Here is a 12,865-nt window from a genome sequence, read left to right as displayed (position 1 = left end):
TCTCTCTCTCTCTCTCTCCCTCCCCCCACTTCTGTCCTGCCCAGAACCAGGAGAAAGGACTAGAGGAGTTGACCTTCCAGGGGAGCTGAACTGTCAGGCAGGGGCTGGAAGAAGCCATTTGGAGGCTCTCCCAGCAGCACCCCTGAAATAAACTCATACCTTTAAGTGAATGTTTAGAATGCGGAGGAAGGCTCTGCCCGCCCGTCCCTCTGCGCACACCCAAGGCCCCTCCGCCCCCCAGTGCCTGGTCTCATGGGGCAGCGTGAATTCGCGCGCTCCTCGGGGAGCCCCCGTGCCCCGCTAATAGTCTCCGCTCATCCAGATGCCCAACGTGCTCCTGCGCTCCCCACAGCCGGAGGGAGGAGGGGGTGGTTTGTAGCAGAGGACAGGGCTGGAGAGGGGAGGAGGGAGATAGAAACGGTAGGTGAAAAAACGGAGGAAAGAGAAGACCCTGTTTCTCTCCACCTAGGGACAGAGGACACCCCTCTCCTTTCATCCTAAGGAAACCTTTTCAATGCAGCCACACGGGAAGACGGAGGGGAATCAGGGGCCAAAAGACACATTTTTTTTTAAATGAAAAATCTTGTAAAACACTCTGGATCAAACGCATCTGTAGCTTCGTCTCCTAAGTATAATCCAGGGAAAGTTTTGTTTGCATGTGTTGCCCCTATAACCAATCCCAGGGGAACCGAAGGCAGTCAGGAGCCAATATATGGGTTCACCGGGTGTCTTTGCACCAAGGACGAACAAATATCTATAATATATACAATATACCCATCTGTATAACATATATATTTATTTGTTATTTGTATAATATATATGTATATATATTTGTTTGCTGTTGGTGAAAAACAAACGCAATGAACCCATCCTACAGGCCTCAGGCGTCTCCAAAAGTCCAGGAACCCCAGCCCGTCCCTCACCCAACCTCCCCGCGCTCCGGGAAGGGGACGGCGGCGGCCCGGGCGCAGGTGGCTGTACGCGTGCTGTGCGCTCCCGAGGACCAGGCGATGGCTCCGGGCCCCCCGCCCCCGCCCCCGGGTTCCTACCTGCACGCGCGCCTCGGAGAGCCCCAGGCGCTGGCTGAGCTCCTCGCGCATGAAGGCGTCGGGGTAATGGGTCTCGTCGAAGAGTCGCTCGAGCTCGTTCAGCTGCTCCAGCGTGAAGTTGGTGCGGCTGCGCCTCTGTTTCAGCTTGGTCTGCCCGTCCTCGTCCTCCGACTTCACGTCCTCGCGCTTCTCTTTGCATTCATAAATCCCTGCGTGGGGAGCGGAGGGCACAGGGCTGAGGCCGGGGAGGTTTTGCGCAACGTGGCGAACCCCTTCGTGCATCCCGCGGTGGAAAGGGGGCCCTCGAAAACCAATGCGCTTTGACGCAAAAACTGCGTGGGGTCCATAAGGCAAAAGCCGAGGAGGATACTCGCTGCTTTCCCAAAAACCTGGGCTTTGCACGAGCGTTGTTTTCTTGGCCTCATCTCAGAATCGTTTCCTCAATTATCCACTTCACCTCTGTTGACATAACCTAACCTTTTTTTCTTATTTTTTTTTTTAAGGAGAGTGGGGTGTCAAATCCTATTTTTAAGGGAAAGAATTTGAGGAAGAGCTGCCAACTGTGGGATCCCCGGCGGGACGCCCGGGAAGGACACGGGGAGGACCCGGGGCGGGTTGCAGATTCTAGGCCTACGGAGAGACGCTATCCCCACCGCTGCAGCGCAGGAGGGCTGGGGGTCCCTCCGCGATCTGGCGGAGCTAGGAGCCCCTACCCGAAGCCTGTTTCTCAGCAGAACAGCAGAACCGCGTCTGAGTACCTGAATGCGCCACCGCGCCTGGGGGCTGAACCGCGTGCGCAGAAATCTCTCCTTCCCACTTTTTCACACGCGGTCGGGCACCTACCCCACCAGAGTGTGCCAAAAATGGCACTTTCTCATCTCCAGTAGTTGGTGACCTGTCTGTATTTGCTGGGGGAGTCAGAAGGGCAGAAGACTCAGCCCTCAAGCGTTTCCAGGTGAAAAACCTTTTCTTCCTCATTTTAGACATTCAGCCTCTCTGACCAAGCTCAGGGGTTTAAGTAAAAGGTGTCTCCCTCGCTCCCCTTCAACCCAGGGCTGGTGGAAGTGGCATCTCCAACGCCCCTCTGTTCCTATCTCGGGCCTGCTGAGCACAGATGAGAAGCACGCGATGCCCTAATGAGATGTCCCTTGCTGTCAAGGGTAAGGGGCTGACATTTGGAAGTTTAGTCTGGAAACAGTCTCAAAGGGGCACAGGCAAGGCCGCTGCAACCAAGAAGCTTGCAAAGCTGACAAATCCAGGGTGTCTACAGGGAACGGGGTAAATACTAGCACCCTGTTCTGTCTTTCTTCCTTCCACGATCCACACCAGGGCCCTCCCACCCCACCCCGAGCTACATTCAGCGCTGGACGCTTACTCCAACGTGGATTTCACATTCTGTTTCACCTCCTATCAGACACGTGCCTGCAAGAACACTCCATTCCTTCCCCCCAAGTGAATCGTTTCCTGGAGACGACCCCAGCTCTCCCTCCTTCATTTCTCTAAGTCTGAACCCCAGGAATTGAGCCCAACTGACAAACTGGTCTTCAAAGTCCTCAAACACCCGCAGGCTTTGCAGAACCCACGGGCTCCCAGGCTCGGCGGGGACACGCTGTTCCCAAAAACTCCAGGCTTCCACGGTAACCTCAGACTCTCCCCTGCCCTCCAACCTCGATTTAACTTGGATCTGATGAATAAATAGTAGCCTGGGTGGCAGTCCTGGCCCGGGGGTCTTTCTGCACCCAGCCAAGGGGAAAATGTAACGGGGACTCTCTGTCTCCTCTCCTGTGGCCCTGGGTCTTTGGCCTGGTCTTTATTTTCCTCTCACTTTCGAAAGGTCTGGAGGACACTTTGCTCTCCCGGGTCCACGGCCAGGGGGAGAAGAGAGAGTTCAGAGGAGCAAAACGGTGTCTGCGAAGGACAACCAAAAAGCAACCCCACAGAAGCGGCCGCCGGGCGCTGCGAACCCTCTTAAATTACACGCAGGCCCTCAAGCGGCTCCCAGCCTTGCGTCCAGGAAGGCCAACTCTCTGTGTATGAATTACAGTGCCGGGTGCCCGCAGCAGTGTGTAGGGAGGAACTCCTCTCACTGTCAAAGGCAGGCTGGGCTCCTGCCTCTTAGACGGTCAGAAACCGGGGACTGCTTTGTAAACCGTAGCCACAGCTTTCTGCTTCGACAAAGTCAGGGCCTTGGGAAGCTGCCTGGTGCCTCCTACGAATACAAGGGCTATTTCCCGGGGCCACTCCACACCCCAAATGCAGGGCCCCGGAGAGCAGGTAGCCCCAGAGTCTTAGGAAGAATTACCTTTGGGGCATTCACCCTCGCACCTCAACTCTGCGAATCAGCAAAAGCCGAGGCTAGATTCTCTGCGTCTTTGTAATGAAAACATAACAGGCGTCCATAGCCGTCTCCAGCTGTGCCCCGACACAGCCAGCCCATTTTATTCTTAAGATGTATGCCGCCCAGTTGTCGTGTGTGCACAGAGATCCCCGGGGCCAGCCCCTCTCTCTGAGCCTCTTACTCCCCGATTTCCACCACGGGACGACCCACCACTGAGGTCTCAGGAGGAAGGGCCAGAGGGGAGCTCCCCCGGGCCGCGCACAACCGGCTGCGCTCTGACAACCTTGACTTAGGACGCGCCCGCGAAGCCGCCAGCTTCCCCGGGGCCCCTCGCGCCCCATCCAGATCCCGGCCACCTCCGCTCACGGGAGTGGTTTTTATGGACCCAACAGCTTTCGCCAAGATCAAGCCTCGACGTTCAAAGGAAAACAATGAAATAATAATGAAGGGTTCCTTAAAGGAAACAGAACCGAGCTGACCCGGGGCCTTCCCGTCTCCTACCACGCAGCCTCGAGTCTTCCCGTGATCTCCGGGGGCCCGGCAGGCGCTGAGCGCTGGGAAGGCGCGTGGAGACGGCTCCTCTGTGCGTCTGGGTGACCGTAAATACAAGGCAGACAGGCAGAGACAGAAACACACATCCTAAGCCGTCAGGACCCAGGCCGGGCGCGGTGCCTCACGCCTGTCATCCCAGCACTTTGGGAGGCCGAGGCGGGTGGATCACCTGAGGTCAGGAGTTCGAGACCAGCCTGGCCAACATGGTGAATCCCCGTCTTTACTAAAAGCACAAAAATTAGCCAGGCGTGGTGGTGCATGCCTGTAATCCCAGCTACTGGGGAGGCTGAGGCAGGAGAATCGCTTGAACCCAGGAGGCAGAGGTTGCAGTGAGCCGAGATCGCACCACTGCACTCCAGCCTGGGGGACAGAGCGAGACTCTGTCTCAAACAAACAAACAAACAAAAAAAGGAAAGGAAAGAAAAAGAAAATGAAAAAGACATCTCAGGCCCTACGGCTTCAGGCACAGCCACCCGGATCCACCCCAGCCCGGGACCTTCCCGTGTCGGTGCCCACGCGCGCGGCCCCCGCTGCGACCCTCCCTGGGTCCCCCCGCACCCCGCTACCCACCACCCGCGTCTCCGGTCGGGTCCACTCCTGCCTTCCTTCCTTTCTTAGGCAAAGCCTGACGGCCCGGGCCTTACCCTGGCGAGACGGGAGCTGCAAATGTGCACAGCGAGGGGCGCGCGGGGCCGACTCCGTGGCGAGGAGGCGCCGAACCCCAGGAGGGCCCCCCTGGAGCCGGAGCGCAAAGGAACTTACCTTCTGCCACTCTCGCGGTGCCGAATTCTTTCAGTTTCTCCTTGTCATTGTCTACGTGGTCCTTGAACAAATGCACCGGGCAGTGGCCGCCGCCCTCCGTGATGTCCTGGAGGCTGGAATCCGACGTCCCCAGCTCCCGGGAGCGCGCCAGTCCGCTCTCCAAAACTTCCCGGTACGTAATGGAATCCTTCTTACCTCCGCCGCCTCCGCCTCCGCCGTTACCGTCCTTGCTTTTCTGGTCAAAAGACTTGGATACAAAAGCCGTGAGCTCTTCCATGGCTGGGGCCGGGGCTGGCGAGCAGCCGGGGCTGGTGGATGCGCGCGTCTCCCCGCGCGGAGAGGACGGCCCGTGCGCGCGGGTGGATCACCAGCGCTGTTATTTACGCCTTTCCATTGGAAATCTCACTATTTATACGCGGCGACCTCGCCCAGCCCCCCATGCGCTGCCTGTCTGGTGCAATTACTGGTCTCCGGGCTCCGCGGCGGACGCACGCAGAGACGCTGTGTCTCCCCCACCCCCCAGGCCGGCAATTGGCTTTCTTCTCATTTCATCACTGTTTGGCGTCCGTACACCTTGGTGCGAAGGGGGAAAGATCCCATTTTTGGAAGGGAGAGCGCGCGCGCAGGAGGGGGGCGCAGGCGCCCGAGCCCCCCACACAGGTTACCCGCGTTCTCTCCGTGGCCGGAGGAAAAGCAAACTCCAGTTTTCCTGCAGAGAGAGACAGAGAGACAAGGAGTTCACGGCTGGAGAGAGGAGGGTCCCAGTCGTCCGGCCGCCCTCGCTCCCGGGAGGAGCGCAGAGCCCGGCGCCTGGATCTTTCCAGGAAGCGCCCGGGTCGCGCCGGGGTTGAGATGGCGAGGGGGGGATCCGGGCGCCCCGGGGACGCACGATCTTGGGAGAAGATGAGCTCCAAGTTGGTGGCGGCGCGCCCTTGGATGGAGAGTTGGTGAGATGGAACGCGGCTGGAGAATCCCCGAAAGTGAGAAGAAGGGGCCGGGTGTCCCCAAACCGGGACGCGGGCGCTTGGGAGGCGGCGGCGGCGGAGGCCGAGGATCCCCGGGGCCGCCTCCCGGGTCTCCAGCGCCCGCAGAAAGAAGCCCAGGTCCCCGGGAGATCCGGTTCGTAAAGATCTATATTCTTTCCGCCCGCGCCAGATCCCGGCGGACCCCGGCGCGAGGCCTCCTCCCTTAGCGCCGCGCTGTCACCCTGGCGTCTGGGGTATTTACCGGGTGAAAAAAATACTTGTGTTTTTGGTTTTCATGGTGGGATGCTCCTGCTCGCTCCCTCCCGCCTCTCGCTATTGAATGTGCTTCAGGGGAAGCCGGTGCTCGCCATCGCGACCTGAAATTCGTTTTCCAAGTCCTGGAAACCAAACGCGTCACGGTTCCTGCCAAGGACCTTCTGCAAATAAAGTGGGGCACCAGGAGGCCCGGAGTCCCCTTCCTCCCGTAACCCCACGGCGCATCTTCCTCCCCGGCGGGGCCTGGGGACCCAGGATGACAGCTGAGCTGTGAACTTGTGTGAGATGGCACAGCAGTGGGGGGACATGAGTGACGGTGGGTTGGGGTGTGTGTAAGACACAGAAAGAGAGAGACAGACAGGGAGAGGCAGAGAGAGAAACGGAGAGACGGGGAGATGGAGAGAGAGAGACAGGGAGAGAGAGAGATGGAGAGAGAGAGAGAAAGAGAGAGACAAGGAAAGACAGAGAGAAAGGGAGAGACAGAGGGATGGAGACAGAGAAAGAGACAGAGGGGGAAAGACGGAGAGAGATGGAGAGAGAGAAAGAGAGACACAGACAGGGAGAGACAGAGACATGGAGACAGAGAGAAAGAGAGTCAAGGAGAGACAGAGAGAGATGGAGACAGAGAAAGAGACAGACAGGGAGAGACGGAGAGAGATGGAGAGAGAGAAACACAGGGAGAGACAGAGAGAGATGGAGAGAGAGAAAGAGAGACACAGACAGGGAGAGAGAGGGAGAGATAGAGAGAGAGAAAGAGAGACACAGACAGATGGAGAGAGAGAAACAGACAGGGAGAGACAGAGAGAGATGGAGAGAGAGAAACACAGGGAGAGACAGAGAGAGATGGAGAGAGAGAAAGAGAGACACAGACAGGGAGAGAGAGGGAGAGACAGAGAGAGAGAAAGGGAGAGACAGAGAGATGGAGAGAGAGAAACACACAGGGAGAGACAGAGAGAGATGGAGAGAGAGAAAGAGAGACACAGACAGGGAGAGAGAGGGAGAGACAGAGAGAGAGAAAGGGAGAGACAGAGAGATGGAGATAGAGAAACACACAGGGAGAGACAGAGAGAGATGGAGAGAGAGAAACACAGGGAGAGACAGAGAGAGATGGAGAGAGAGAAAGAGAGACACAGACAGGGAGAGAGAGGGAGAGATAGAGAGAGAAAAAGAGAGAGACAGACAGATAGAGAGAGAGAAACAGACAGGGAGAGACAGAGAGAGATGGAGAGAGAGAAAGAGAGACACAGACAGATGGAGAGAGAGAAACAGACAGGGAGAGACAGAGAGAGATGGAGAGAGAGAAACACAGGGAGAGACAGAGAGAGATGGAGAGAGAGAAAGAGAGACACAGACAGGGAGAGAGAGGGAGAGATAGAGAGAGAAAGAGAGAGACAGACAGATGGAGAGAGAGAAACAGACAGGGAGAGACAGAGAGAGATGGAGAGAGAGAAACACAGGGAGAGACAGAGAGAGATGGAGAGAGAGAAAGAGAGACACAGACAGGGAGAGAGAGGGAGAGACAGAGAGAGAGAAAGGGAGAGACAGACAGATGGAGAGAGAGAAACAGACAGGGAGAGACAGAGAGAGATGGAGAGAGAGAAAGAGAGAGACAAGGAGAGACAGAGAAAGAGATGGAGACAGAGAAAGAGAGAGACAGGGAGAGATGGAGAGAGAGAAAGGGAGAGACTGGGAGATGGAGAGAGAGAAAGAGCGACACGGACAGGGAGAGAGAGGGAGAGAGAAAGAGAGAAACGGAGAGACAGAGAGATGGAGAGAGAAAAAGAGAGACACAGATAGAGATACAGAGAGAGACAAAGAGAGGCAGAGACACAGAGAGGGAGACAGGGAGGGGGAAGAGAAAGAGGGAGAGAGGCAGAGACAGACAGAGAGGGAGATTCGGAGAAGGGTCTCTGGCTTAGAGCAACTTTCTGGGTCCTCAGAGGCCGGGTAACTTTTCTGCTTCTAAAGGCCTCCCCATCTCTGCCTCTGCTGGGAAACTGGGTCCCCAGGGACTGCGCCGTAAACCTCTCACAGCTGCTCACTGTCTCCCTACCGAAAACCCTCCGTCCTCCCAGCTCAGCTGTCTTCTCCAACCCCAAGGACCAGGCTTTCCTGGGGGGTCCCGTGAGGCCCAGGCTTTCCCCGACCTGAGGTTCCTTCTTGGGCCGCAATCTGGACCCCTTTGTCTAGTAGGAAACTCCGCTCTACCAGGGTGTCCGAGCCTCCAGGAATGAGCATGGGGACACCAGTCAGGAGCTGTGTGGCTATTCAAGGCCCCTCGGCCTCGGAGAAAAAGCAAAGGCCCTTTTTCAACTGAAGCCCCAATTGTAATTCTCACTGCAGACAAGTGGCTTTGAAATCACGCACGTCCGATTCATGGCACACTTTCTGCCTTTCCAACACCCCGCTTTTCCTAAGAGTTTCTGGCTACGCGAAAGAGATCTCATCTTTCTGTAAAACTCCAACTCTTCCTGTGGGATGAGCACGGAGGCGGCCTCACCCCTCTCACCTAAAGACCTTTCCCTTCTCTGACCAGAGCTTTTACGTTCTCTCCCTGCCCTTCCCTTTAAAGACAGGCAGGAAACACCCAGCGTTTGAGTGCTTGATAACATGTTAGAAATCCAGACGAGAGCTTTTTCTACCCCACACGTTTTTCGTTGCCAATTCAAGACGCTGTCCGAGAGGCCGCAGCTCCAGTCTGCAGAGTGGGTGGACTGTATGAAATGTTTTGCATTGACATTTTACAGCAGGCGGCTGCAGGCAGAAAGCAGGGTCTGCACCTCTCTTGGCCTGGGCTGTGTACAAGGGGGTGCTTGTTGGAGGTTTTACTGATGCTTCCCTGAGACAGGGAGAGAGAGAAAAAGAGAGAGAGAGGAGAGAGGGAAAGAGTCACAGAGATAGAGAGACAGAAAGACAGAGAAAAAGAGACAGAGAGAGAGGAGAGAGAGAGAGACAGAGGTAGACAGAGATACAGACAGAGAGAGAAAAAGAGAGAGGAAAGAGAGACACAGGTAGAGACACAGAGAGAGACAGAGAAAAAGAGACAGAGAGGAGAGAGACAAAGAGAGACAGAGACAGACAGAGAGACAGAGACAGAAAAAGAGAGAGAGGAGAGAGAGAAAGAGAGACAGAGATAGAGATACAGAGACAGAGAAAAAGAGAGGAGAGAAAGAGAGACAGAGGTAGAGACACAGAGAGAGACAGAGAAAAAGAGACAGAGAGAGATGAGAGAGAGAAAGAGAGACAGAGATAGACAGAGATACAGAGACAGAGAAAAAGAGAGAGAGGAGAGAAAGAGAGACAGAGACAGAGATACAGAGAGAGGAGAGAAAGAGAGACAGAGACAGACAGAGATACAGACAGAGACAGAGAAAAAGAGGAGAGAGAGAGACAGAGGTAGAGACACAGAGAGAGACAGAGAAAAAGAGACAGAGAGAGAGGAGAGAGAGAAAGAGAGACAGAGATAGACAGAGATACAGAGAAAGAGAAAAAGAGAGAGAGGAACGAAGACAGAGAGAAAGAGAGACAGAGATAGAGATACAGACAGAGACAGAGAAAGAGAGAGAGGAGAGAGAGAGACAGAGATAGACAGAGATACAGACAGAGACAGAGAAAAAGAGAGGAGAGAGAGAGACAGAGGTAGAGACACAGAGAGAGACAGAGAAAAAGAGACAGAGAGAGAGGAGAGAGAGAAAGAGAGACAGAGATAGAGATACAGAGAAAGAGAAAAAGAGAGAGAGGAACGAAGACAGAGAGAAAGAGAGACAGAGATAGAGATACAGACAGAGACAGAGAAAGAGAGAGAGGAGAGAGAGAGACAGAGATAGACAGAGATACAGACAGAGACAGAGAAAAAGAGAGGAGAGAGAGAGACAGAGGTAGAGACACAGAGAGAGACAGAGAAAAAGAGACAGAGAGGAGAGAGAGAAAGAGAGACAGAGATAGACAGAGATACAGAGAAAGAGAAAAAGAGAGAGAGGAACGAAGACAGAGAGAAAGAGAGACAGAGATAGAGATACAGACAGAGACAGAGAAAGAGAGAGAGGAGAGAGAGAAAGAGAGACAGAGATAGACAGAGATACAGAGACAGAGAAAAAGAGAGGAGAGAAAGAGAGACAGAGACAGAGACACAGAGAGAGGAGAGAAAGAGAGACAGAGACAGACAGAGATACAGACAGAGACAGAGAAAAAGAGACAGAGAGAGAGGAGAGAGAGAGACAGAGATAGAAAGAGAGACAGAGGAAGAGAGAAAAAAAGAGAGAGAGGAACGAAGACAGAGAGAAAGAGAGACAGAGATAGAGATACAGACAGAGACAGAGAAAAAGAGAGAGAGGAGAGAGAGAAAGAGAGACAGAGATGGACAGAGATACAGAGAGACAGAGGAGAGAAAGAGAGAGACAGAGATACAGAGATAGACAGAGAAAAATAGCGACAGACAGGGGACAGAGAGACAGACAGAGAGAGACAGCGAGAGAGAGAAGAGAGCAGCACACCAAGCCGATGAGAAGAGACTTTTCACCGTGTCTTGTTAGCGTATGTGACCGCCTCCCTGTATGAAATGCCTTTTGCCAAGCGTCCCAAAAGAATCAGGTTTCAGAGAAGTTAGTGGATGGACAAAAACAACGACTGCGAATAAAAACGCAAAGGGGAAAGAGACAAATGGCAGAGGGAAGAGGAGGAAAAGGAGTAGAAGGAGGAGGAGGAGGGAGAAGGAGGAGGAGGAGGAGGAGAAGGAGGAGGAGGAGGGACGATGAAGGGGGAGGATGGGGGAAGGAAGAGGAAAGAAATGAAAGAGAAAGAAAAAAGAAAGAGAAAGAAAGAAAGAAGAAAGAAAGGGAAGGAGGGAGGGAGGGAGAGAAGGAGGGAGGGAGGGAGGAAGGAACAGAGGGAGGAAAGGAAAGGAGGGAGGGAGAGAAGGAAGGAAGGAGGGAAGGAAGGAAAAAGCTTTCTGGAAAAGAAAAGGAAAGCTCCAAAAGCAATCTTGCCAAGTGAAAGAAAGAAAAGAAAGAAAGAAAGAAAGAAAGGAAGAGAGAAAGAAAGAAAGAAAGAAAGAAAGAAAGAAAGAAAGAAAAGAAAGAAAGAGGAAGAGAGGAAGGAAGGAAGGAAAGAACGAAGGAAGGAAAGAAGGCAAAGCTTTCTGGAAAAGAAAAGGAAAGCTCCAAAACCAATCTTGCCAAGTGAAAGGAAGAAAGAAAAGAAAGAAAGAAAGAAAGAAAGAAAGAAAGAAAGAAAAGAAAGAGGAAGAGAGGAAGGAAGGAAGGAAGGAACGAAGAAAGGAAAGAAGGCAAAGCTTTCTGGAAAAGAAAAGGAAAGTTCCAAAACCGAGCTCACCAAGCTCTGAGCGCAGGCCCCGAGCGCGCCCCGGAGGTTCATTCGCGTCCTGGCGTCCCCAGCGCGGTCACCACCTCCCGCAAACCCTGTGCGGACTCGGGCTGCTGCGTCCTGGGCGTCTGATCCGCTCCTACCCGCCTGTCCACCCTCCCATTTCTGTTTGCAGTAGAAAGAGACGCGCGGAAACGAAATAAAACAAAACCAAAAAAAAAAAAAGTGTGGGGAGCCCCTGTTCTCAGGACCCGGGCAAAAGCAGGCGGCCGCAGGGTGACTCGAAGACCCCTATTGGCTCCTGGGGGCCCCCCAGGGACCTGCCCTGGTTGCATTGACCCCAATGCCCAGGGTGCTGACCCCTCGCGCGCGCGCGCCAGCCCCGCAGTCGCAAAGGAAAAGCGAATCTCCGGATCCGGGACAGCGCTCTCCGCGGTCCGCCCGCCGGGGCTGGGGGTCCCGCAGCAGACGAGCCAGGATCCCAGGGGCTTCTCCTCGCCTTTGCACCCCGTCATGCAGCCCACAGCAAGCCGGAGCCTCTTATCCCGGCCTGGTTCCCCCCTTCCCTGAATTCCTCCCCAACTCCCCGCAACAGGCCCGAAGCTGCGGGGAGCGCGGCAGGGCTGAGGCTGCAGAGGGTCCCGGAGTTCCTCGACCTGAACTCGGTCCCAGCAAGATTTGCTTCTTATTTCGCCCCTGGAGACGCAGGCGGGGCTGGGAAAAGCTCAGACACGCAGCTCAGGAGCTGCAGGACGCGGCCAGCCCCGGCCTCCCCGCCGTGCGTCTTGCTGGCTGGGAGCAGTTGCTGGTGGTGACGTTTCTCCCCTTCTCTTTTCTCTCCCCAGGGGCGGAAAAGAAACCAGAGAGGAGACTCAGTAGCTGCTGTATCTGTTGTAGGACCTTGGAGGCTGGAGGCTTGCGCTTGGGCGTCCAGGCGTCTCTCACTCCCGTCCCCAAGAAATCTATGGGGCAGCCATGCGTCCTGACCAGCGCTTTCTAGAACGCACCTGCTGGGGGGAAACTCGAGGAACGCGCTTAGGATGGCTGCGAAGAGGAAGGAACTCTGAGACTGGCCCACTTTATCAAATAATCTGGCTTTTTCTATGTGAATTAGGTACGTTTTAAGGAATAAGTCATTTGCTCTCTCTCTCTCTTCTCTCTGACTTTCTCTCTCTGTCTTTCTCTCGCTTTCTGTCTCTGTCTTCTCTCTCTCTTCTCTCTCTTTCTCTCTGTCTTCTCTCTGTCTTTTTCTCTCTCTCTGTCTTCTCTGTCTGTCTTTTTCTCTCTCTCTGTCTTCTCTGTCTGTCTTTTTCTCTCTCTCTGTCTTCTCTCTCTGACTTTTTCTCTCTCTCTGTCTTCTCTCTCTCTGTGTCTTTCTGTCTTCTCTCTCTCTTCTCTCTCTGTCTTCTCTCTCTTTCTCTCTCTCTCTGTCTTTCTCTCTCTCTTCTCGCTCTCTTTCTCTCTCTCTGTCTTCTCTCTCTCTGTCTTTCTCTCTCTCTTCTCGCTCTCTTTCTCTCTCTCTGTCTTCTCTCTCTCTGTCTTTCTCTCTCTCTTCTCTCTCTGTCTTTCTCTCGCTCTCTGTCTTTCTCTCTCTTCTCTCT

General features: G+C 54.4%; 1 protein-coding gene across 2 annotated transcripts in view, besides 5 other annotated features; it reads right to left on the bottom strand.

Moving 5' to 3' along the window:
• Positions 1-2,600: part of a meiotic recombination region, noted in NCBI's record as "crossovers mapped in sperm cells of males of northern European ancestry", that runs on past the window's edge. NCBI's record gives the evidence for it as "EXISTENCE:DNA detection assay evidence [ECO:0005519][PMID:12089524]".
• Positions 1-2,823: part of a biological region, named in NCBI's record as "meiotic recombination hotspot SHOX", that runs on past the window's edge.
• Positions 1-2,823: part of a meiotic recombination region, noted in NCBI's record as "meiotic double-strand break mapped by DNA meiotic recombinase 1 chromatin immunoprecipitation followed by single-stranded DNA enrichment and sequencing in the germ cells of some male individuals with the PRDM9 A/A, PRDM9 A/B and PRDM9 A/C genotypes", that runs on past the window's edge. NCBI's record gives the evidence for it as "EXISTENCE:chromatin immunoprecipitation-seq evidence [ECO:0000229][PMID:25395542]".
• The window catches only part of SHOX (SHOX homeobox), a 35,068-nt gene extending 23,536 nt beyond the window's left edge, over positions 1-11,532 (bottom strand). Inside the window, exons 1-3 of one of the 2 annotated variants that reach the window (NM_006883.2) lie at positions 11,274-11,532; positions 4,702-5,410; positions 1,050-1,258 (exon numbers count right to left, since the gene is read on the bottom strand). In NM_006883.2, the coding sequence (NP_006874.1) occupies positions 1,050-1,258; positions 4,702-4,978 (486 nt within the window). In that variant the 5' untranslated portion in view covers positions 4,979-5,410; positions 11,274-11,532. Of the gene's footprint in view, positions 1-1,049; positions 1,259-4,701; positions 5,411-11,273 lie in introns of those variants that run through there. The other variant, NM_000451.4, reaches the window with a different exon arrangement.
• Positions 1,506-1,522: a nucleotide motif, noted in NCBI's record as "nucleotide motif; similarity to the predicted 16-mer PRDM9 C-type binding motif, CCNCNNTNNNCNTNNC".
• Positions 11,697-12,564: an enhancer, noted in NCBI's record as "OCT4-NANOG-H3K4me1 hESC enhancer chrY:534047-534914 (GRCh37/hg19 assembly coordinates)". NCBI's record gives its function as "activates a minimal SCP1, AML or CMV promoter by ChIP-STARR-seq in primed H9 embryonic stem cells {active_cell/tissue: H9 hESC(primed)}" and the evidence as "EXISTENCE:reporter gene assay evidence [ECO:0000049][PMID:30033119]".

The sequence above is a fragment of the Homo sapiens genome, chromosome Y (genome assembly GCF_000001405.40).
Source record: "Homo sapiens chromosome Y, GRCh38.p14 Primary Assembly".
NCBI lineage: Eukaryota > Metazoa > Chordata > Mammalia > Primates > Hominidae > Homo > Homo sapiens.
This window is presented reverse-complemented; position numbering and strand designations above follow the sequence as displayed.